The sequence below is a fragment of the Homo sapiens genome, chromosome 4 (genome assembly GCF_000001405.40).
Source record: "Homo sapiens chromosome 4, GRCh38.p14 Primary Assembly".
NCBI lineage: Eukaryota > Metazoa > Chordata > Mammalia > Primates > Hominidae > Homo > Homo sapiens.
Window position 1 is genome coordinate 61,575,631 of NC_000004.12, and position 24,262 is coordinate 61,599,892.

Here is a 24,262-nt window from a genome sequence, read left to right on the forward strand (position 1 = left end):
ACGGTGCTCAATTTTTATTTGTTGGACAAATTAATGAAGTTAATCACTGCGGTGAAGGGTTGATATTTATCAGTCAGGAATGTCAGAATATGTATTTCTCAACCACCATTTTGAAAATTCATTTTTCTTTCACAACTTGTGTTTAATTATATGTTTAATGAATTGAGGAAACATATGTGTAGAAATCCAGAACCTTTATTTTAATCTAGTCTAGAAACTAGCTGTGTGGCCCTGAAAAATGTATTTTATAAAGACTTTCTATTGATTTTTTTGTGGGAGGGAAAATGTGTTTTATTAACCCCAATGGTATATTTTGTGGTTGAGCTGAACAAATATAATAGAGTGCTTTACGTGCCCTGTGTCATTTCATGACAGTTTTCCAACATATAATCCTTGGTAAAGCCTTTTCACCGGTTTCCTGTGATTTCTTTATGTGGTTTTTGAAGTCAATTCATATAGCTTTAGAAAGTTAAGTGTGTGAGCTGGTTTTTGTCCTTTCAGAATATCATTGTTGTTGTTACTCCTCTTAGACCATAAAAACTTGTTCATTCAGAATATTTCTGATGGTTTTGCTGCAAAGCTTGGGAGAGGTGACAGTTTCTTTCTAAACCAGCTACATATTTCATTTTCACTCAAAAGGTCTTCACTAGTGTCCAGCATTATCCAGCATACGATGTGGGGCTTTTCCTTGGTTTTGAGGGTATATTTTGCCTAGAATTGATGGTTTCATTTTGGCTAGTCTATCACATCCTGATTATTTTTTGTGCTTTGGGAAGAAAACTGTCATTAGAATTTATGAACAAACAAACTGGCTACTCTTCCTGTCCCACATTTCTAGCATTTGGCAATGATCTGGGCTTTCATAGGTTTAGAGACTTGGTTGGTTAATGCATTCCTCATTTACCGATATAACAAGTAGAGATTCACTGTCTTTAGAGTGGGAATTTACATTTAGCATCTAGTGTGCAGTCAACTTATTAATAAAAATATATTTGGAAACATTGTTAATGAAAGTTTCACTGGAAATAAAATAAAGAATAATCATTTGATTTTTGTAAGCAGCATAGTCAATTTGCAGACTTATTCCTAACAAATATAGTCTAGTGGAATACATATCAACTTCTAGTTGCTACAAACATGCACTCCGAAACTTTAGTTGGAAAACATAACAATGTGAAAATACAAATTTGGTCACACTGTTTATGGTTAGGTTTATTGGTCTAATCTCAGGTGGATTACGTAGACAGCAATTGTCCAATTCTGAATGGGTGAATAAAGGGGAATATTTTCCATTCCAAAGTCATTGTAAAGCTTGTGGATAATGGATGTATAAATATTGTTGTACATGTTTTTCAATGTTGAAGGTATTACCAAAGAAGTTATTACAAGGTCTCTGTTGTGGAAGATTTATGCTTCAGAATTAGAAAGAAAAGCCTTAGTATTACTTTCCCTAGGGACAAAACAAAACAAAACAAAAATTATATGCCACTGAAAGCTCTTTGTCCTTTCCAGTGAATAATTGTGTGTGTGTGTGTGTATGTGTGTGTGTGTGAGAGAGAGAGTGTGTGTGCATGTGTGTGTTAGGGAAATGGGGGGGGGATGAGGGAGGGAAGGGAAGAATGTGAATAGATTGTGCATTTCTCAAAAGCATGTATAGTGCAGTGAGGCATTTGTTTGTTGCTTAATAACTCCTTTCCTTCAAAATTAAAATTTTGTATAGTTTTAACTGTGACCTCCATTCATTCAAAACTTGTTTTATTCTTCACTAAGTTTCTTCTGTTAAAATCTGCATGATTACAAATTTTCTTGGCTCCACCATAAGAATAACATAAACTTTGTAATTGTTGATTTGCAATAAAGAATATTGATGTTTATATACTGCTATGAAAGTATGCTGAGGCCAGATGAGGTGGCTTGCCCCTGTAATCTTAGCACTTTGGGAGGCAGAGGTGGGAAAATTGCTTCAGGCCAGGAGTTCGAGACTAGCTGGGCAACATAGTGAGATACTGTCTCTACAAAAAATAAAAAAAAAATTAGCCAGGCATGGTGGCGCATGGCTGTAGTTCCAGCTACTAAGGAGGTTGGGGTGGGAGGATCACTTGAGACCAGGAGTTCGAGGTTGTAGTGACATATGATCATGCCACTGCCCTTCAGCCTAGGTGACAGAGTGGGAGCTTGTCTCTTAAAAAAAAAGAAAAAAAAAGGGTAATGACCAAATTTGACAATGAATGTCACATTTTAAAGTGGAAGTAATGATTTTCTATATTAGTACAGTAGATTTTTATACAAAGATTCATATTAACTTTTATAGTATATTAGTTAGTAAAGAATTCTTAAAATTATATTATGTTTTGTGCTGTTAAGAAAAAAAGTTCCTGCCAAGCACAATAAGTTGAATAGAACGTTTAACTTACATTTCATATTCAGGAATTAGATTTCACTTCACTAATGAAATGGGAAACCATAAAGATTATACAACTGATTATTGGTGTGATATTCTTGTATTTCCTTACATATTTCCTAAAAGAAGTTCCCTTTCCTGTTTTCTCTGTGTGTGACACCCAAGGAGAGTTATTGCATCTTATCTCTATGACTTTCTCGTTCATGCCTTCTATTCTTCCTATCTTTGTCTAAGCCACGGTTTGGTAAATGGGGATGATAATTTTTCTAAACTGTTATCATTGGGAATTTGAAATAAAGTGATACTTTTAAAGCACCAGTACAGGAAAAACACTTGATAAATTTTAGCGATTACCATTGTCATATTGCCCTAAATAGCTCATTCCAGTATCTTCCTCATTAATACCCACACTCTCTTTCCTTTAACCCTAATCTGTTTAAATAATCTATTGGCTAATAATTTTTAAGATTAATTTGATAAATCTCTTTATTATGTCATTATATTATATCATAATCTTTTATTGCTTTAACTAATTTGAGCTATATTCTGTGTCTAATTTTAAGGCTTTCTCTGATTTTACTACTGTTCACTTCTGTTCCTACCTCCCTTGTAAATGCACATTTCATTGCTCAGATTTTTTGCCTGAAGTATTTTACTATCCCCTCTCCGATATCCATACATATTGTTTCATCTTTAAAGACCAACTCAAATCTTCGTCATTCGAGAAATCTTTTTTAAGCACACTAGCACATGTTTATTTGATTTCTCTGAAATTCTTACTTTTTATCTGTTCCACATCATTCTGCTTTATAATGTTTTAAGCTTTGCATAGGCATGTATTCATTCTTTCTCCAACTACAAGCTTCTAGAGACCCATGGAGACAGAAAGATTCTTAGTATCCATCTTCTGGGTCATCGGCCTATCTCTTCTCTCCTGCTCTGAACTTTCCCCTTTCTGGTCTTGTTAATCATGAGTAACATCCCTTGCCTTTGGGAGCTTGTTCACATACATGAAGTTTTATCATTTCCTTGATTTCATGTGTTAACTCTGAAGCTTCTGCTAGACTCTTGGAACTTCATCCCATATAGGACCACTCCTAGACCTGAGATAATACCTAATGTGAAGGGAGACTTCAGATGACACCCATGTCTTATGTGTAATAATTCCCAGCATCCACGTTGTAAGGGATCAATATGCATTTAGAATTAAATTGGCATATTTTAAAAAATTTCTTTTGAACTAAATAATTCTTTTTAGTGGATTCTTGCTTATCTTGAAATTACAGTTCTTACTCTTAAGAACATGTTAAACAGCCAGTTTGGATTTTTTGACATTTAGAAGATTGGGAAAATTGTGATATGTGAAATTTGACAAAGTTTTAGAAATGTTATTTCTCGTGAATTGGAAGACAATGTGGAAAGTGATTTCTATTAAATGTTGAAATGCTATAGTAAGTAGATATGAAATGCATTTATTCACACACTTGCTGCTTTTTTAGGCAATCCTCAGGTAGACGATTTCATTTGAAGGTCACAACTTTGTGTATGTGCCCTCAAAAAGGATGAGGTTCATGATGAAGCTCCGTAAGTCAAAAGAATAGCTGCTTAATTGTTTGATGATGTACCACTCATTAGAATTTTTTTCTATAAGTTCAGAAATTGTATATTAAAACATCTGAATTTCATGCTTTTCTTTTGACCTCAGAACATAGTTGTCTTTGGTTATTCTTTTTTAATTGTCACTTTGTTACACTTAGTTAAATGCTAAAATGCCATTTCAATTATATGTATTCTTTTTTGAAATAGAATTGTTAGAATTCAGTGTATTAGAAGTCTCCTGAGAGCATATGTTCTTTTAAAGAAAGTAGATGATGGGTTATTTCTTTTGGTTACCAGTGTTGTTTTTGCTGCCAAGTGTTTTGGATTAGATTTTCAGAGCACATTTCTTAAAACTTAGATAAATGTGTTGGCATGTAAAATGACACGGAGAAAATACATGTATTTAAGAAAATTATGTCAAAAGCTCTGCTGAAACTTAAAATTGATAATATTTACTTTTTGGCAGCATTGAAGTAATGAAATGTTTTTCAAAGGCATTGCCAATAAGTAGAATCATGTCCACTTTCAGATATGTAAGAAACTCTTTTAGAATCATTAGCCTTGACTTACAAATAGTTTAATTAACTACTTCCTCAGAGGAATCAAATCTGTTTCATTTTTATTTTTTAATTTTCAAAAGAGCTCTTTTTTTCATATGATCAGTGAGATGCAGGGGCAAAAAATCGTTTTTAGCACCTATTAGTAATTCAACACTGTTTCCATAAAAAACTAATAGCCTAAATGCTGTTTAAGCAAACGGATGGTAATACTAGACTATTTGTACGATCATTCATAATATTTTTCTTTCATTTATTTGGTAATTTTTCAATATCTATCTAACAGTTTCAGTGTCAATTCTTTAAACATTCTTTCAGGCTTGGTTCTGGGCTGTATTGGATAGCCAAAAACTCTGTGGCTTAAAACAATAAACATTTATTATCTTACACAGTTTCTGTAGGTTAGGAGTCCAGGAGTAGTTTAATTAGTTGGGTATAGCCCCGGGGTTTCTCATGGGGTTGCAGTTGCCTGAAGGAAGGCTTTCTGGTGGATGGAAGACCAGCTTCCAAGGTGCCTCTCTCATGTGCATCCGAAGTTCATCCTGGGTGCCTCAGTTCTTTGCTCCCTGGACCTTTCCATGGGACTGCTTGAGTGCTCTCAAGATATGATAGTTGGCTTTGCATAAAACGAGGGACTGAAGGGAGGCTGAAGTGGCAGTGTGTTTTTAATGAACTACTCTCTGAAATCACATACTCATTTATACCACACTAAGTCCTTTAGAAGCGAGTCACTCAGTACATCCACATTCAAGAGAAAAGGGAAGAATACTGGAAGAGTATCAAAGAACTGTGAACACATTTTAAAATTGCCACGTGTGTTGATGGCTGTTGTGAAAGTTGGGTTCTTGTATTCTTAGTTTAAAGAATTTAAACAAGAGAAACACAGCAATGGAGATGCAGCATGGAGCAATTTATAGCAAAGAAGAAAGAATATTTTGAAAGTTAGGTGCAGAATAGACAGTACACCCTGAGAGATGATTCAGAGAGGGCTGCTCATAAGGATTAGACAGCCACAGTTACTGGGAAAACTCCCTTTATGGGAGTCACCTTACATGATTATTCATGAGAGGGTGGGAAGAGCTGTTACTAGTAAGCATGTTCTGGGTGGTCCTCTGGGTGCACGTGCACGGTAGCTGTACATGCTTGTTCATACATTACATGTCTCATTAGCATCTTAAATCTCCATCCAGGGGTGTGTTTTTCACTATTATAATCAGCAAAGAGTAATTTTGAGAACAGGTAGAATCAAAATGCGCATGCCCTCCACGGGACAATTCCCTCCTAGAGATAGCTCTTTTTGAATGAACTTGACTACAATGTGAATGCTGAAAGAATTGCTCTTAAAGGGCCATAGTTGCTGTGTCTCCAGGACATGGTGGCTTTCTTGATTACCTATCCTGACTCAAATGGACCTCTTTAACTATCTCCCTCCCTAGGTTATCGTTATCTACTTCTGTGATTTTTAAGCACTACCTTTTAACTCTCAAATTGATGAAGATCACTCTTCTGATTCATAGACTTGTATATTTAACTTCCTACCAAATCTGGCTCATGACACTAAAATCTAACCATTTGCTTATATGTCAGAAACGTGGCAGCCATTCTTGTCACTCTCTCCCTTACCTTACATGTTCAGTCAGTCATCAAATCATGTAATTTTTTGTTCCTAAACGTTGTTCAAATACATTCTTTATCATTACCTATTTAAAACAACCATCTTTTCTTATCTTTATTACTATGAAATAGCCTTCTAATTTGCATTTCTTATTGATTCTTTTGTAAAAAATTATTTGATAGATTTCTTGTTGTTTTGCTTTTAATACATAGGATTTGGAGTAAACAAAATATGAAGGGAAGGAAATAGAAAATAAATATAAATATAAGCCATTTTGCTGATGCTTTTATAATTGTAGCAAACAGACAAATAGGGCAGTCTGAAGATTTTCATCTCTGCTATATGGAGATTAGGCTGTAGCTCTTATTATTTTTTTCTTTTAATTTAATTTTATTTTAAATTCTGGGATACATGTGCAGGACATGCAGGTCTGTTACATAGGTAAATGGTGCCATAGTTGTTTGCTGCACCTATCAGCCCATCACCTAGGTATTAAGCCGTGCATGCTTTAGCTATTTATCCTGGTGCTCTCCCTCCCCCCGCTCCTGCCTCCAGGCCCCAGTATGTGTTGTTCCTCTCCCTGTCTCCATGTGTTCTCATTGTTCAGCTCCCACTTATAAGTGAAAACATGTGGTGTTTGGTTTTCTGTTCCTGTGTTAGTTTGCTGAGGATAATGCCTTTGAGCTCCATTCATGTACTTGCAAAAGATATGATCTCATTCCTTTTTATGATTGCATAGTATTCTGTGGTGTATATGTACCATATTTTCTTTAACCAGTCTACCATTAATGTGTAGCCCTCATTTTTGACTGGATCGCTAAATATGTAGAGCAATGCATGAAAAAAAAAAACAGATTTGACTAGGACATTGAAGACTTGGCCCAGGGAGAGACAGAGAAATGTTTGATTCATCTATCATGTAATTATTTACGTTCCCTTCCCCTAGTGCAATGGCAGGTGATTTAGTCCATACAGTCAAAATCTTCCTTGAATAGATATGAAATGACCTTCTGTGTATCTCTCCCATGACTAAGGAGCACCTTCTTCAAGTCGTCAGTGACCACTGATATTCCAACTTCTTTGTTCATCCCTCTTCTCTTACTCTAGAAACACTCACTTAGCTACTTTATATATTAACATGATTTTAGCCTATATTCTACTCCTGAATTCTAGACTCGTGAATTCAACTGATTATTAACCATTTGCAGATATCCTGACACCTTAAATTTAACGTATTTCAACTGAATTAATTATATTTGTTATAACCTCAACCAATTAATTGGCTACTTGCCTCTTAGACTATATTTAGTCTTTTACTTATTGATATGTTTTGTCCCATAATTTCATGTCTGAAGTAATATTCCCTTCTATGAAAGCCCCTAGTTAATAGCCTAGGGTTACCTTGGCAAGTCTCTGACCCCAGTCCATGGAGACCAAGAGGAGTCACCTGACTCTTGATCGGTCACCTACTTCTAGCCTCCTGACTTCCCATCCCTAGTCTGGTATCTTTAGTTACCATCACACACAAGTTCATCAAGGCCTTATAGCATATCGAGTCAAAAAGCACCAAATAGGCTTATCAGTAGGGGAGAGACCCCAAGGAGAAGGAAACAGAATGACAAGAGGTTTCAATAATGAAGTGGCTAAAATTTCAGAAAAGAAGTAAAGAATAGGATTAATTTCTGCGGAAAACAAGTGAGCAAGAATAGGGAGCTATTTCTTTTATTATTTGATATTTATATTTTATGTGCTTTCCTCACAGTTAATATGTGATCAAAAGCACTTTTCACTAGCTGTATGTTTGATATGAATTTTGGAAACTTTCTGAGGTTCTGACATCTTTATCAGAGATGTTTAATTAGTTCATGTCCCTTCAGTCAGTCCTGTGGTCAGTGAGTAGTTCCAAAGTGTGGCATCCTAGCAGAAGGTTTCCAGATTTCACATCTAAAACTTTTCCAATTTATTCAGCAGATATCTATTACACACCTAATAGATGACACTGTGTTCTTTGATATAACAGATTACCTCATGGAATAAAAGTGGTAAGGAGCATAAGAAGGTATGTATATGCCTTCTTTCCTCCAAATTATTACGTTATGAGTCACTCCACAATGCCCAATGCAATGTTAACCTGGCACAACATGCAGTAGACTATTTGACTCATTACTCTGCATTTGAATTGTTGGCATTTTCCATGTTTTAGTGTTTTCCTCTTCTAACCAAGTCTTTCCATTAGTAGCATGATAACTGAATGGCAAAAAACTTTTCTTAACAAAAACCTTTTTTTTTCCTTTGGAGTTTGGTTGCTATTAAAACAGTTAGTAACATAATTAAAAGTAATTTAAATAGCTAATTAGATAATGTTATAGAGTAATTTCCAGCCATACATTCCCATTAACAAATTCCCGTAAACAAAGTATCCATCATTTATGGAGTGCAGTTTGTCACTGGGTTACTGATGATATAAATGCAATTATACATTCAATGGAAGAAAGCATACACAAACTCTGGTACTCCATAAAAATTGCCATACCCATAACTTTTGAATCATTCTTACAAGTCCAAAAGATACATGGAAAATTTGGACCCCGACATTTTAACTGACTTTGCAACTGCCTAGTGTCTGGTACTAAATCATATTTTTAACAGTGAAGACCCAGATTACAGCTATGTCAATGTATTGACAAAATTGACCCATGAGTTTAATAAACCAAATTCCCCACTTACTGAAACAAATGCTTTTTGCTTATTTGTTATTTTTTTGTTACATTAACCTTTTTTTAAAAAACTTAATTGACTGGTTTAGTCAACATACTATAGCTAGATGAATCCAATGTTTGGAAGCAGTTTCAATGTGATTTTTTATAAAATGGTTATAAAAGTTAAGAAACAATTTGTCTCTTGATAAATGTATAAAAGTTTACACTAAAACATTCAGGGAATTCTGATATTAAGGACCTTTTGTGAAAACAAAAACAAAATCACCTCTATGATTCCATTTAAATTGACCAAAGTCCTTTTTTTAATTCAATGATTCTATTATATAAGACTTTAAATACACTTATGAAAATGTCTATATCCATGAAAATAGCATCTCAGTATTGAAAAGGACTTCAGATTTAAATAAGCATCCAATTTCTGAGTGATAAACAAAGAGTTTTATTTTAGGGACAACAGAAATGCACATATCACAAATTCAGTGTCTATTGTGAGAGTACCTTGCTAAGTGTTGACACAAGAACAAACTTTAAAAGTAACATTATAACCAACCTTTAATTGTGCTAACTCTCTTCAATCAATGCTGTGGATGTGCTAGATTCTTCTATGGGTGTGTGTGTATGTGTGTGCACACAATAAAGAAAGAGAGAGAGAGAGAGAAATAAAATGCTGAACACCAACCAGAATGGAATTAACTGTGCAGTGCAGCTTGAATAACTTCAAGTGACCTGTTAACCTGCTAAGAAGTTTTGCCTAGGGTCTATGGTACAGTCCTACTTTTTCAAAAATATCATACAAATGAGGTAAAAACCAACACCACTCTCAACTTTTAAATTATAGATATGTTTCATAAACCAAATCAATATTTTCTCTAAACTTCAAGAGAAAATATTTATAGTTACATGTTTTCTCTTTCTTTGCCCCTCCATTTTTCACCTCCCTGCCTCTCTCCTCCCTTCTTTTCACATTTCATGCTTCGTAAAAAAGCCACAAGAGAAGCACATATTTGTTTAAATACATGTCTTTTGTGCATGTGCACGTTAGTGAGTTAATCAACTATAAATGCAAATTTAAGCTATCATGTATGTTTCTCTATAACTGATTCTCTTAGTGTGGAAATCAACTTATTTGACAGTTAGTAAACGCTTCATTTAAAATTTAAATTACATGCTTATAAAAGAAGATTTGTTGAGTTATCATAACTTAACATTTGACTCTTTTCCAATAATGTAGTGATTATGTTCACAATCTTGGAGAGGGAAACTGTTAAACTTGACAGGAAAAGGCAGACCTTTCCTGTATAAAAATTAAATATATATGTCCAGCAAACATCTAAACTTAAACGTCAAGCTAGAAAAAGTGTGTTTCTCATAAATATGAAGGACAAATGTTTATTTTTCTTATACAAAAAACTTTTATAACAGCAAATTTTACATAAATGTAAGCAAGCCATTCACAAATAAAAGCAATACAAAAGGTCAATAAACATATGAAAATATATTCCACAGTACAAGTAAAGTAGTACAAGTTAAAGATATTATACCATTCTTTATCAAATTGACAAAGCTTAAAGGAATTGATAATATTTAGTTTTGAAGAAGAAAGTATTGTTGATAGAAAGTATTCATTTTCAAGTTTATTTGAAATCTATTGATATTTGCCACATTTGAAATGTATTGCCCTCTTGACTCATCAATTTCATTTTTTAGAAATGTACCTTAAAATGTATTTGGATAATTAGGTTTTCTCAAATATATTACAGCCAAGGTGCACAGATAGGTTTAGGCTTCCTTGCAGTATTATGACACAAAAACACCAAGACCTTTCAGGATGTCCATGAGCATAGGGCATAGTTAAATAATTTATATATTTATGAGATGTAGCCATTAAAAGTGAAGGAAACAATATCCAGATATGGAAAGATTTCCATCATATATCATTACATTTATAAATAAAATAATACAAAATATCAAACAATATGTATAGTGTGATACTACCTGAGTAAAATTTTCAGAGTAAAGTGAAAAGAGGAGCGGGAGAACACACACATGTCTGTTTCTGTGAAGAAAATTCTAATTGGGAGGTCTCCACATGGGTAACTAATTACCTGTTGACAGTGGGGAAGAGTATGGGGAGGAGCTAAAGGAAAATATAACTTTTCCTCCAAATGAATCTCCATTTTCTTAAATAAATAGCAAGCATTAGTTCTACAGTGAACTCACAAAGTATTGCCTAAAACAATGGACGTATGTTGTAAAATTGAAATAGATTACTTAAATAAGTATATTTAAAGTCAACAATAGTGCAATTTTTCAATGATGATTTTGTTATTAAAAAGAAAGAAGAAAGGAACACTTGCAAGTTTTATTTGAATATCTGACTGTATAAACTGGATGATATTTCTATCTAGTTTTAATCTGACACACTAGGCCAAGAGTTTAATAGAAAATCGACAGTGCCTTTTTTCATTTATAAGAAAAAAAGTGTGATAAAGATTTTAAGAAATAACTGTTTCTGTTAGATTAGAAGAAAAATATTTATAAAGTTACTGAAGAGAAAAATATTCTAGTTTAATTAAAATTATGAATCTTAACTGCTTTATATCTTCGTATTGATTTACCCCAAACATTGGAAAAGCGAACACATGTAATTTTCCTTTGTATGTAGTAACGATGGCATCTCTTTTCTTCCTCTTCCTTTTGGCAGCTTTCAGCCGTGCCCCAATTCCAATGGCTGTGGTCCGCAGAGAGCTATCCTGTGAGAGCTATCCTATAGAGCTTCGCTGTCCAGGAACAGACGTCATCATGATAGAAAGTGCCAACTATGGCAGGACTGATGACAAAATTTGTGACTCTGACCCTGCTCAGATGGAGAATATCCGATGTTATCTGCCAGATGCCTATAAGATTATGTCTCAAAGGTATGATACTTCTAATATTCTTTTCTTTGTGCACAATATAAACCTTCAACATCAATCTGTGTTACATGTTAAGCATAAGAACATAAACAGTGTTATGTATTTTAGGACACTTCAAAATAGTTTTTCCATATCTGACTATTCCTTGTATCACCAAAATGCTAATTGCAAACAGCATTTGGAAAGTATTACAATTTATTGGATTATCTATTACATTTCATGGTCTGCATGACATTGCATGCTGTTATTTTGATAGTGTTCTTTAGAACTGAGTTCATTACATGAGAGAAGAATAAATGTATTTTTCACAATTTGCAAAAATAAGATTTTCTCCAAATATGGCAGAAAAATTATTTTACTGCTAACAATAACTTTCTAACAATGTAGGGAAAAAAAGAAGTAAAAATTAATAGGTAATTTATAATCATTAATCAAAATGTAGTAAGAGTATTGATTAAGGATTAGTTGGCCTTGGAAAATAATTTTAAAAGTATTCTTTTGCTATTCAGCATATGAAATTAATTTAAATATTTGAGCAATCTAAATATGGCCATATTAACATCATATAAATGAATGTATCATATAATATCAGTGGGTAAGAAATATTTTTGATTCTAAAGAGACTGGTCAGTAGGAATGCATATTATATAAGGTTTAAATTATGTTAAAATGTCTTGATAAGTTAGCTAAGTATTATATATCTCTTAGATATTTGTTCACTATTACTATGCTTTCTCAGAAATCAGGGATAAAGTCATTCCTTTAGTATAAGCCTACAGCTATTCAGTTATTTCTTTTCCTTCTATTATTTAAGAACTTCTTTAAATATAGGGAAAACTATATTTTAGATAAAACTAAACAAATTGAAGTCTAAAGACAAAAACAGTAGATTTCAAGGATTCTCTCTTTTGTACTTAGGAAAGCCTTCCTTATTTTTCACCTTTTGTCTTCTTCATATTCAAAATTTTGATAAGTATTTTTGTGTGTAATTAATACATTCATAGTCAATATGTTATTTTTATAAATTACTATTACATAAATTATAAATACGAATTATAATATGTCAGGTTTTTGATGATTAAAGCACTGATGTGTACTTGAAGGGTAATGAAATATGGGCAAATCTGAGGGCTTTTATTTGTCTATTACTAAAATGATGGCTCATGCTAAGGTGAGCATTAATAAGAAATAAGATATTAAAATTAGGCATTTCATTTGATAAAAGTTTGGTTACATCTTGTTGTTCTTGTGTGTCTCTATTATCGTTACGTATTTGACATACCTCCAACTATACTAAATGCTATGCCTGAAAGAGTTCTGATTATTTAGTTGTGTGTAGGTATTGTAATGGTGTTTCAGGAGTGGTTTTCTATGAGTAGTATGCAGTGGGCACTATGACTAAACTGATATTTTTATTTGTTTTAGTTAACCAAACATAAGATTCTGTAGAATTCATTTGGAATGTGAGTTGAGAAGGAAATTCTGCCTTTCTCTGATTCATTTTTCACTTAAAATGTAATAGAAGCATTAGCTCTTTCATCTGTATATGATTTTCACTGAAATTGTTTTAATCCTTTCATTAATATTATTAACAGCTCCAAAAATAAGCCTTTAATCTTATAAGTATTTCAAAAAAGTAGTTATAATGGATCCTTTGGAGTCACTGAACTATATGGGATGCGTACACTAAGTGACAAATGTGTAGAGTAAAAATACTTTAAGCACCGTTAGTAAATCACTTGTGTAAACCCTCCTGGTGGTTTCACAAATATGAGTTGTCAGTTAGCTGAAATAACTTTGGTTAATTCTCCATGGAAGCAAGTTTCTCACTTGCCTTTTAACTGTTAAATGTACTAGATTTAGACTTGTCCAAAGTAAATGTTTTTGACTCTCTGAGAAAAGAAATCAGGTTTTATTTTGTAAGCTCCCAAGAGGCACAATGTCGTGGCCATTTAAGCTGCTTTATAATGAACGTAGTTACACTATTACGCCAACCACAGCATGTTAAATAATGCTAATAATTACTACTTATGGTATGGACATCATACTAATGGTACAAACAGTTTAAATAGATTAAAGCATTTAAACTGAAATCATAATGGAAAACATGTTTTTTTAAAAGGTATCTTAATCCTTTTCTTTTGCTTAAACTTCTAGAAAGAGACTATATCAGAGTCTAAACGTTTCTAAGCATGTCTTATGAAGGATTATTACTCAGTATAAACAGCATGATTATCACCGTATTCTTGTATAACCTTGTTTAAAAAGCCCATAACTTGCTTCAGAGTGATGCAGTAGACAGATGTTCTAGGCAAGGAGAGATATGAAATGTCATTGAGGCAGATGTGTGAGTACACGTGAACAAAGGCATAAATTAAACTGCATACTGATGTGTAAATTAAAGCTAAGTGTGAAAAATTTGGAAGTTGAATTGAAAGGCTGTAACTCTTGATTTCCATATTTTTCTTCAGTAGAGCTTTGCAATCTGATATATGGTCTAGAGAAGCCACTTTCTTCATTGCTTTCCAGATTGCATTTTCTCCAATCACGTGTGCTCTCATGCCATTCTGTCCACCACCCACCAATCGTCCATGCTTTACTTCTGCTTCAATATCTAACCAGAGAACTTATTAAAACATCACAACAGATTTATTTGTCCTTCTCAGGAACTTATACTTTTACTCAATTATTATCACCTACATTTCTCTTTAATCTCATCTAAACATTAACAAACCTATATTATCATACAGCTGCCTTGTCTAAAGCAAATTGTAGGCTTCTAGAAGGCAGACTGCCTGTTGATTTTACCTAAAACCAACTTTGGATATATAAATGAATAAATAAATATGCTAATTTTGTTATGCCACTTAAAAGCTTTCTTAACTCTATTATTTGAATGGTTTCTATTTCTTTTTGTTTTTTTATATATTTTAGAGAGTTTTTTAAAAAAAATATTACACATAACTTTGGAAATCTAAATATGAAAATTACAGTTTAGCAACTGGATAACTTTAGAAATTTTACATTTGGCATTCAGCTTAGGTTTCATGTTATTCTTAACTATTAATTGAAATATTTCAGTTGTTAACCAGCACTTGAAAGTTTACAACGTGCAGTTTACCATAACAGTTACTTTTGGGCTTGATGGATAAATAAGTTAGTCGTGTTTTCTCCCCATAAAACTATGTATTTTTTGGCAGATGAGAAAACTCAACTATACCATTTGCTCAACATTTTACTTTTTATCTCATTTATATGTATTGAAGAGATTAAAGGAAGAAGGCTCTTTCAGCTGAATGATATAAGAGAGCATTTCACTGGAAAGGAAATCTTAGAGCTGCTTCTTGAAAGATGGCAGCATTAGTGGAACCAGAAGAGACCTAAGTGATACTAGCTATGTAAGTGGAAGAACACTAGAAAAGAACACAAGGGCATAGCTTTTTTCTAGTAATCTTTTGCTCATCCTTGGTTCACAAGTTTATTGCTGTTCTGCTGTGGACGTTTTATTGATGTATAATATGCCTACAGAAAATTCCGTATATCATACGTGTACACCTCAATGAATTTTCACAAATCAAGCTCATCCATGTAACTATCACAGATAAGGCAGAAAATTAATGTCACCTCAGAAAGCGCCCCCTTGTGCTCTGCACCAGCCATATTCCTTCCTACAAGGATTGCCCTATCCTGATTTGAAAAACTAAATTAGTTTTGCCCACTTTGTAATTTTAATAAAAGGTTTCATATATTGTATACTTTTTGTCCGGCTTCTCTCATGTAATGATTTATTTTTAATGTAAATTTGTTGAAGCATTTGTATATACTATATAATTCACTCATTTCAATAGTACAGTGATGTTTTTAGTGAACTTAGCAACTGTTGCAACCACTGCAATAAATCAGTTTTAGAATATTGTTATCACCACAGTAAGATTCTGCATGCCAATTACTGTTCATCCCAATCTCCTTCCCCAACCTGTGCAGTGTCCAATCTACTTTCTGTCTATATGTTTATCTTCAATGTATTATTTTAAAGCTAAAAAATGAGTATTTAAAATCAAGTTAAATTTAATGGGCTTTTCAGTGGGTACAATATAGAAAAAATATTGGCAGTTATTTCTGGAGGTATGGAAATAGATATGTTGCTTGTATTTTGAATACTCTTAGAATCAAACATCATGAATCTAGACATTTAAAAATATTTCTTTTGAGTTTTCTATCAAGTATAGGTGTTAAATGTACAAAGTAGGAGTATTTTTTTTCTATTTAAAGGAGCGATCTAAGTTTTGTTTTAGACTCAGGTTGTTCACATATAATAGTCACATTAGGAACATGCAGAAAAGAGAGAGAGAGAGAAGGCCAGGTGCTGTGGCTCACACCTGTAATCGCAGCCCTTTGGGAGGCCGAGGCAGGAGTATTGCTTGATTCCAGGAGTTCAAGACCAGCCTGGATGTTTTATGAAACATCCATCTCTACAAAAAATAAAAAGTTAGCTGTACCTGGTGGGGTGCACCTATGGTCCCAGCTGCTCGGGGTTGCTGAGGTGAGAGGATGCCTTGAGCCCAGAAGGTTAAGGCTGCAGTGAGCTGTGATCATAAAACCGCACTTAGCCTGGGTGACAGAATGAAACTGCTTCAAAAAAAAAAAAAAAAAATAGAGAAAGAATTGTTCCCCATCTTTCTGAAAAGTTAGTTTTCAGTTCATATCAATAGCACTGAAGGTAATTTTATAGCTTACAAAAGATCTTGCGTTCTGCTGAAGTCATTCGGGGTGATGCTAAGGATTTTTTCAATAGTGTGAGGAGGTGAAATGCCAGTGGCAGTTTTGGAGGGTACATAGCCTAGTAAGTGTTCTGCAATAACTGCATTTATATACATGAGTTATTCCGCTCAAGTATTCTCCTTTACTTCTTTGACAGATCCATTATGTTGTCTCGTATTTCTCTTATAAACTATAACAGATCAGAAACAATACCTCATGTTAGGAACTTTTCCATTGAATCCACATTCTATGTAATAAAAAGAAAGAAAGGCATAGAACCTATAATATATAATACATTTCTTAAGGATTACTGTCTGTGTGCATGTCTCTTTAAATATAAAGGAAAAGAAAGGAGAGAAGGAAGATAACTTTTCCCAAGGCCTAAATGTAGAGAATATGGAGAAATGGGAAATTTCCTATATGGAGGGCATTTACTTATTTCTTCTCCTCTAATATTTAGCTTCTTTCAATTCTGGAAGTACATTTTGATAATGTCTGCTAAATTACTTTCAAGTATTTCTTGCTATTAATTTAATTTTGAAAGAAATTGTGTGTTACCATATGCATTGTTCAGAGTTAAAAAATTTAGTAAATGATTCAAATATTTCATTATGGCTTATGGGAAAAGCTAAAGGGAATTGTGTTAGGTCTCCTTTGCCCACAGGAACTATTAACCCTTTATTGCAGCCATACTCAAAGCATGGTTCATGGAAATTTGGAATCCCTTTTAAGGAGTCTACAAGGTCAAACCCAGATTTTTCTCTGGTTGTATGCTTTAATTTCTTGCTTTTTCTTTTCTGTGTATCCATTGCATGTTTTTCATAAGGTTACCATGAGGCTTACAAACACTATCTTATAACCCACTATTTAAACCGATGACAACTTAACACTGATTGCATAAAGAAACAGACTCACAAAAAGGAAACTAATAAAAACTCTACACTTTAACTTCATCCTCCCACTTTTTAACATTTTGTTGTTTCTCTTTATGTCTTATTGTGCTGTTTATGTCTTGAAAAGTTGCTCTAGTTATTATTTTTGATTGATTCATCATTTAGTCCTTCTAGTTAAGTCAAGAGAAGCTTATACATCATAATTACAGTGTTATACTAATCTGTGTTTTTCTTTGGCCTACTGTTACCAGGGAGGTTTTTTTTGTTGTTGTTTGTTTGTTTCTTCTTTTCTTGTTTTGTTTTTTTCCTTCAGGTGATTTCTTATTGCTCATTAACATCTTTTTTATTTCTGATTGAAGAACTCCCTTTAGCATTACCTGTCTGGTTTTGATGAAATCACTCACCTTTTGCTTGTCTGGGAAGGCCTTTATTTCTCCTTCATGCTTAAAGGATATTTTCACTGGATATACTATCCTAGGGTACAAGTTTTTTCTTTCAGCACTTTAAATATGTCATGCCATTCTCTCCTGGCCTGTAAAGTTCCCACTGAAAACTGTTGTCAGATACATTGGAGCTTTATGTCATTTGGGTTTTTTGTTTTGTTTCGGTTTGGTTTTTTCCCTCTGGCTGCTTTTAGGATCCCTTCTTTATCCTTGACCTTTGGAAGTTTGATTATTAAAAGCCTCAGAGTAGTCTTCTTTGAGTTATATCTGCCTGCTGTTCTATAACCTTCTTGTATTTGAATGTTGGTATCTTTGTCTAGGTTTGGAAAGTTCTCTGATATTATCCCTATGAATCCCCCTTGTCTCTGTCTCTTTCTCTCCCTCCTCTTTAAAGACAATAACTCTTAGATGTGTTCTTTTGAGGCTATTTTCTAGGCATGCTTATTGGTTTTTATTCTTTTTTCTTTTGTCTCCTCTGATTGTGTATTTTCAAATAGACTGCCTTCTATTTCACTAATTCTTTCTCTGTTTGATCAATTCTGCTATTAAGAGACTTTGAAGCGTTCTTCAGCATATCAATTGCATTTTCAAGTCTAGCATTTCTGCTTGATTCCTTTTAAGTATTTCAGTCTGCTTATTAAATTTGTCTGATATAACTCAGAATTCCTTCTCTTTGCTATCTTGAATTTCTTTGTGTTTCCTCAAAACAGCTATTTTGAATTCTCTTTCTGAAAGGTCATATATCTCTGTTTCTCCAGGACTAGTTCCTGGTGCCTTATTTAGTTCATTTGATGAGGTCCTGTTTTCCTGGATGTTGTTGATACTTATAGGTGTTCTTCAGTGTTTGGTAATTAAAGAGGTAGATATTTATTGTAGTCTTTACAGTCTGGGCTTGTTTGTGCCTGTCCTTCTTGGGAAGGCCTTCCAGGTATTTGGAGGGACTTGGGCCCCAAACCCAATAATGTTGTGGTTTTTGCAGACTCATAGAGGCACTGCCTTGGTGGTCTTGGATAAGACCTGAAAGAATTATCTCACTTACCAGGCAGAGACTTGTTTTTTCCCCTTACTCTCAAACATATTGAGTGTCTCTCTCTGTGCTGAGCCACTTGGAACAGGGTGTGTAATGATGGAATCACCCCTGTGACCACCATCACTGGGACTGTGCTGGGTCAGACCTGAAGCCAGCATGGTACTGGGACTTGCTCAAGGCCATTCCCTTCAAGGTAGTGAGTTCCTCAGGCCCTGGGGAGTGTCCAGAGATGCTGTCTGGGAGCCAAGGACTGGAGTCAAAAACCTTACCAATTTGCCTGATGTTCTATTCTTCTGCAGCTAAGCTGGAACTTAAACCACAATACAAAGTCCTTCCCACTCTTCCTTCCTCTTACTATGGCTGAGGATCCTCTCTTGTGGCTCCCACCACTACTAGTCCATGGGGTTTCTCCAGCCCACAACCAATGTTCACTTAAAGCCCAAGGCATCTGCCTCAGCTTGTGTGAATGTTGCCAGGCCTGGAACTCACCCTTCAGGGAAGTGTATTGCCTTCTGGCCTAGAGCAGGTCCAGAAATGCTGTCTAAGAGCCTAGACCTCGACTCAGGGACTCCAAGGGCCTGATTGCTACCCTATCCCACTGTGGCTGAGCTGATAGCTGGGGTGCAAGACAAAATCCCCTTTATTTTTCCCTCTGCTTTTCTTAAACAGAAGTATTTCACCATAGCCACCACAGCTGGGAATGTGATGGGTCTTTTCTGAAGCCAGCACGTCTCAGAGCCCAAGGCCCATTGCATACCCCCTGGGTATCAATGGTGGTTTTTCAGGGCCCAAGCGTTCTTTAGTCAGCAGGTAATAAGTCCTTCCAGGACTGGGCTCTTCACTTCAAAGCAGTGGTCCTTCTTGATCCAGGATGTGTTGAGAAATGTCATCTAGGAGCTATGGCCTGGAATGGGGGCCTTATGATTCTGCCCGGCGCCCTATCCTACTGTGGCTGAGCTGGTATCCAAGATGCAAGACAAAGTCCTTTTTCTTCTTCACTCTTCTCTCCTTTAGCAGAAGGAAGGAGTAACTTTTGTTGCTACAAGCTACACTGCCTGGGGTTAGAGGAGTGATGGCACAAGCACTCCTTGAGCTGTGCCAGGTGGTGTCTTCCTAAGTCACATGCCACCCAAGTTCACTGGCTCTAAGCCTAGCCTAGCACTAGGAATTGCAGTCCTTGTGTCCCAAATCTCCTTTCAAGTTTACCTAGGACCCCAGAGCACTTTGGCCCTCAGTGGTGAGGCTTGCATGAAACCCAAGTTCCGGCCCATGGGATGAGTGATTCCCCTCTGTCTAGGGCTGGTCCAAATGCTCCCTTCTTGTGTGGGTGCTGGCTGAGCCCAGCATGGTTTAATTCTCTGCTGTGACAGGGCAGCACTGAATTCAATGTAAAGTTTCTCAGTCACTGTGTCTCCCTCCCCAAAGTGCACAAATACTCTCTCTGTGCCTCATGACCACAGCCGGGGAATGGGGAGGGGTGTCAATGGTGATTCAAGACTGCCTCTCCTGCTCTCCTCAGTGCCCTCTTTTAGCAATATGAAGCTAAAACCAGGTACTTTGATTGCTCATCTGATTTTTGGTTCTTGTCATGGAGCTTTTCTATGTGCAGACAGTTGTTAAAATGTGCTGTTCCAGCAGAAGGGGACAAACAGTGTATACTTCCATTCTGCCATCTTGCTCTGCCCCTTAGTTACTTTTTAATACTTATAAATGAGAAAATGTATTATGCCGGCCTTTTGTAATCAGACTTGAATATAACTGAGTACTGTATAATTTCTAATGTTATACTAAGACTTTAGACAGAGCAATCTTCACAGTCAAACCTTTTGCTAATAAGTTATAAAAATGAAAGTGTATTTTTACTTGTGCCACACTGGTAACTTTGGTTTATTATATACTTAAGTTTATTATTGTGTAGCATTCTGATTTTATTTTTCATTCTCTGCCAGAGCTCAACTTACACTGAAAACATATTATGAAATTTGCCTCCTTGAATACTGTATCTGTCTACCAATCATAAGCTTTAATTGACTCATTGTTTATTTTTTATTCTCCAGGCAGGAGAATTGCTCCAGCCTAGGAGTTCAACCCTAGCCTGGGCAACATGGTGAGACCTCGTCTCTACCAAAAATTAAATTAAATAAGTAGCTGGATGTGGTGTCATAAGCCTGTGGCCACAGCTACTTGGGAGGGTAAAGTGGGAGGATTGCTTGAGTCTGAAAGTTCAAGTCTGCAGGAAGCTGTGATTGCCTTACTGCACTCCAGCCTGGGTGACAGAGGAATACCCTGTCTCAAAAAACTGTTGGGAAATAACTGTTATCCTAGTATTTGTTAATATGATAAAATGCATTAATTGATAATGGTTTCTGTAAAGTTAGATATTTACCTTATCGCTTGTGTAGAAAAAGATATATAAATCATATCTATTTGTGATTATGATTTCCAAATGGTAAAAGTGAAGTGTGTTTTTTTTTTTCATGCATAAGGGCTAATTTCAATATATAAATATATTATGTGTTTTTGTTCTGGCTCAAAAAGACTTGAGATCTTTCCAAAAATGTTAAGTGCCCATAACTATTAGTACTATCAATCTTTGAAAATAAACATTTGGAGCTGTTTCTTGGACTCGTTCGTGTATTGAGAAAGTAATGCTTGGCAAAGAATATAAGTCTACAGGAATGCTGTAATATAAAAAGAAGAAAATATACTTCAAAAGTAATAAAAAGACAAGAAGGAGAGATAGTTGTTACGAAAGGAGACTAGCTGTCTATGGGTTAAAAGGTGAGTAGATGATAATTGAACTAAAGGGAACTTTTCACTTAAGCTTATTGATGTTGTTGAATTATTTAGAGCCACTTTGATCCCAAACCTTCACCAATGATCATCTGAACAACTCTGTATATTTTACTATTACATATTAATGTTCTCCTGGAGATTTGAATTTACTTAGCAAATGTAGTGCATCAATGTTATATGAAATATTTATGACAGTTCTTTACCAATACAAACATTTTTTAAAATATCATATTATAATATGATCCCCTCATTTAGTAACATTGACTTTTTTATTTGTTTCATGGTAATGGTCGTTTTTTGTTTTTTTTTTTTACTTTTACAACTATACACGTGAAGTCCACCAAAGCCTGGATATATGGTATAGCCTTCAGGTTTTCTGTTATAGGTGATATATATTTCATATGTATTTCTCATATATGTTATAGCTACATATTTCTAACTACTTAGACACTCATTTTTATCTTCTTTCTCTCTCCAAACCACAAATATCTGTCTTTTTATTATAATTTGGCATAAAAATACCTATGGCCAGTTTCATCAGTTAAAATCTTCTGGACAGTGGGAATTATTTATCTGTACATATTTTAGAAATTAGGGACACAAAACATACTGCTCTCTCACAAATTTTCTCTGCAGAATTTATCATAATACAGGTTTTTCACCTTTCTAGGTAATTCAAGTAGATCATCCTTGCCTGAGGAGATACAATCCTGAATTACTTTCTAAGTTTGTTTCTAAAGCAAACATAGAGCCCTTCAAATGGTTTATAGTAAGTTAGCATTTCCCTGCTGTGACATTAAAAAAAAAATGTTCAACTATAACAACAAACATATGTAGTATAATTTTTCATGGAAAGGCATAGAATTGGAAAAGCATAAATAATATTAGCAGCACAAACCGACATGGATACTGGAGGGCAACATGAACCTCCTGCGAACTAACAGAAAAGTGGATCTTAATGTAATTTGTGAAGTACATAACATCTAAAATGTTACACATGAGTGAACGTGAAGGAAAAATTATTCTCATGAGATGCTATCAGATACATATCTATACATATGTCATAGCTGTAATTCATTATAAAATAATATCAGCAACAAACAACAAAAAGAAGCTACAACATAAATCTCATCCCCTACATTCCTTTAATCTGTTGTACTATAATTTTTTGTCAGAAATGATTGAAGAACATGTGTTTTGATGGTTACAGCATGAACTCAAATATCCTTAGAGTGGCACTTTTGAAAATAGTATACCAGCGCTGTTGGCATCCATGTGAACACACAAACACATTTACACACATACGAGTGAGATCATAACTTCTGATGTAAGTATATAAGGTATATATGACATATATTTGTAAAATGCAAATTAATTTCATGAAAAAATGTTATCTAATGGTTTAAGATTTCAAAAAGCTTACTTTTTTCATTTATTAAGGAATAAATGACTATATTTTATCCATTTTTTATTTAAAATTTTCTTTTGATTTTGTCAGGATGATAGAGCAGACATAATTATTTTATTTTACTGATGACAGAGCTGATGCTCCAACTGGTAAAGAGATTAATACAAGGATATGACCCTATGCCTTTTAGGGGCCAAGGGAAAACTTAGCTTTTGCTCTCTGAAGGCTCACTGAAAAAATAAACTCACTAAAGGCACATGAATTGGATGAAATACATACAAATTTTATGAATGTGTACACAGAAGCCTTCAGAATGAAGACCCAAAGATACAGGATAAATTGTTCATTTTTATACTTAGGCTCAACAAAGTATGGACAGCCATGTAGAAATATGATTGCACAAAATGCTATGGCCTAATGCTAATAGACTGAGTGACTGGGGAAACCCAGCAAGGCCCATCTGTCTAGATTCTTCTTGGCCTCTCAGATCATTCATTCCTTCTGGGTATGAGGCAGGACCCTCTCTGGAATGGGAGTTTTATCATCTACAGTGAAACAAGGTAGGTCAGATAATTCCTTTTTGTTCTTGGAGACAAAATCTCATTCTGCCACCCAGGCTGGAGTGCAATGGCGCAATCTGGGCTCCCTCCACCTCCTGGTTACAAGAGATTCTCCCGCCTCAGCCTCCTGAGTAGCTGGGATTACAGGTGCCTGCCACCACGCCTGGCTAAGTTTTGTATTTTTAGTAGAGATGCGGTTTCGCCCTGTTGGCCAAGCTGGTCTTGAACTCCTGACCTCAAGTGATCCACCTGCCTGGGCCTCCCAAAGTGCTGAGATTACAGGCATGAGCCATTGCGCCTGGCCTAGATAATTTCTTTATGGTCAGTTTTTCCAAGGAAAGCTGGAGGGACAGATAGAGTAATTATTTTAGGTATTATGGCTAGCCTTGGGGAAAAGGGGTTCTGGTTTCTATGGCTAGCCTCCAGCATGAATGGGACTGAGACAAGAGAACAGGAGAAGGTCAGAGAAAAATTTTCGCTTCTGCAGCCACTTCTGAGGCCTTCATTTTGGGGTATTGTTTTCTGAGTCACAACAGCTTTTACTCCAAGTTTAATTTTATAAAT

At 34.9% G+C, this 24,262-nt stretch overlaps 1 protein-coding gene across 59 annotated transcripts in view, besides 1 other annotated feature; it reads left to right on the forward strand.

The window, feature by feature from the left end:
* ADGRL3 (adhesion G protein-coupled receptor L3) overlaps window positions 1–24,262 on the forward strand; it is an 878,010-nt gene that overhangs the window by 375,305 nt on the left and 478,443 nt on the right. For all 59 annotated transcript variants that reach the window (NM_001387552.1, NM_001322402.3, NM_001387522.1 and 56 more), the window contains one exon: window positions 11,597–11,810. In NM_001387552.1, the coding sequence (NP_001374481.1) occupies window positions 11,597–11,810 (214 nt within the window). The remainder of the gene's footprint in view (window positions 1–11,596; window positions 11,811–24,262) is intronic.
* Window positions 18,631–19,132: an enhancer, noted in NCBI's record as "H3K27ac hESC enhancer chr4:62459979-62460480 (GRCh37/hg19 assembly coordinates)". NCBI's record gives its function as "activates a minimal SCP1, AML or CMV promoter by ChIP-STARR-seq in naive H9 embryonic stem cells {active_cell/tissue: H9 hESC(naive)}" and the evidence as "EXISTENCE:reporter gene assay evidence [ECO:0000049][PMID:30033119]".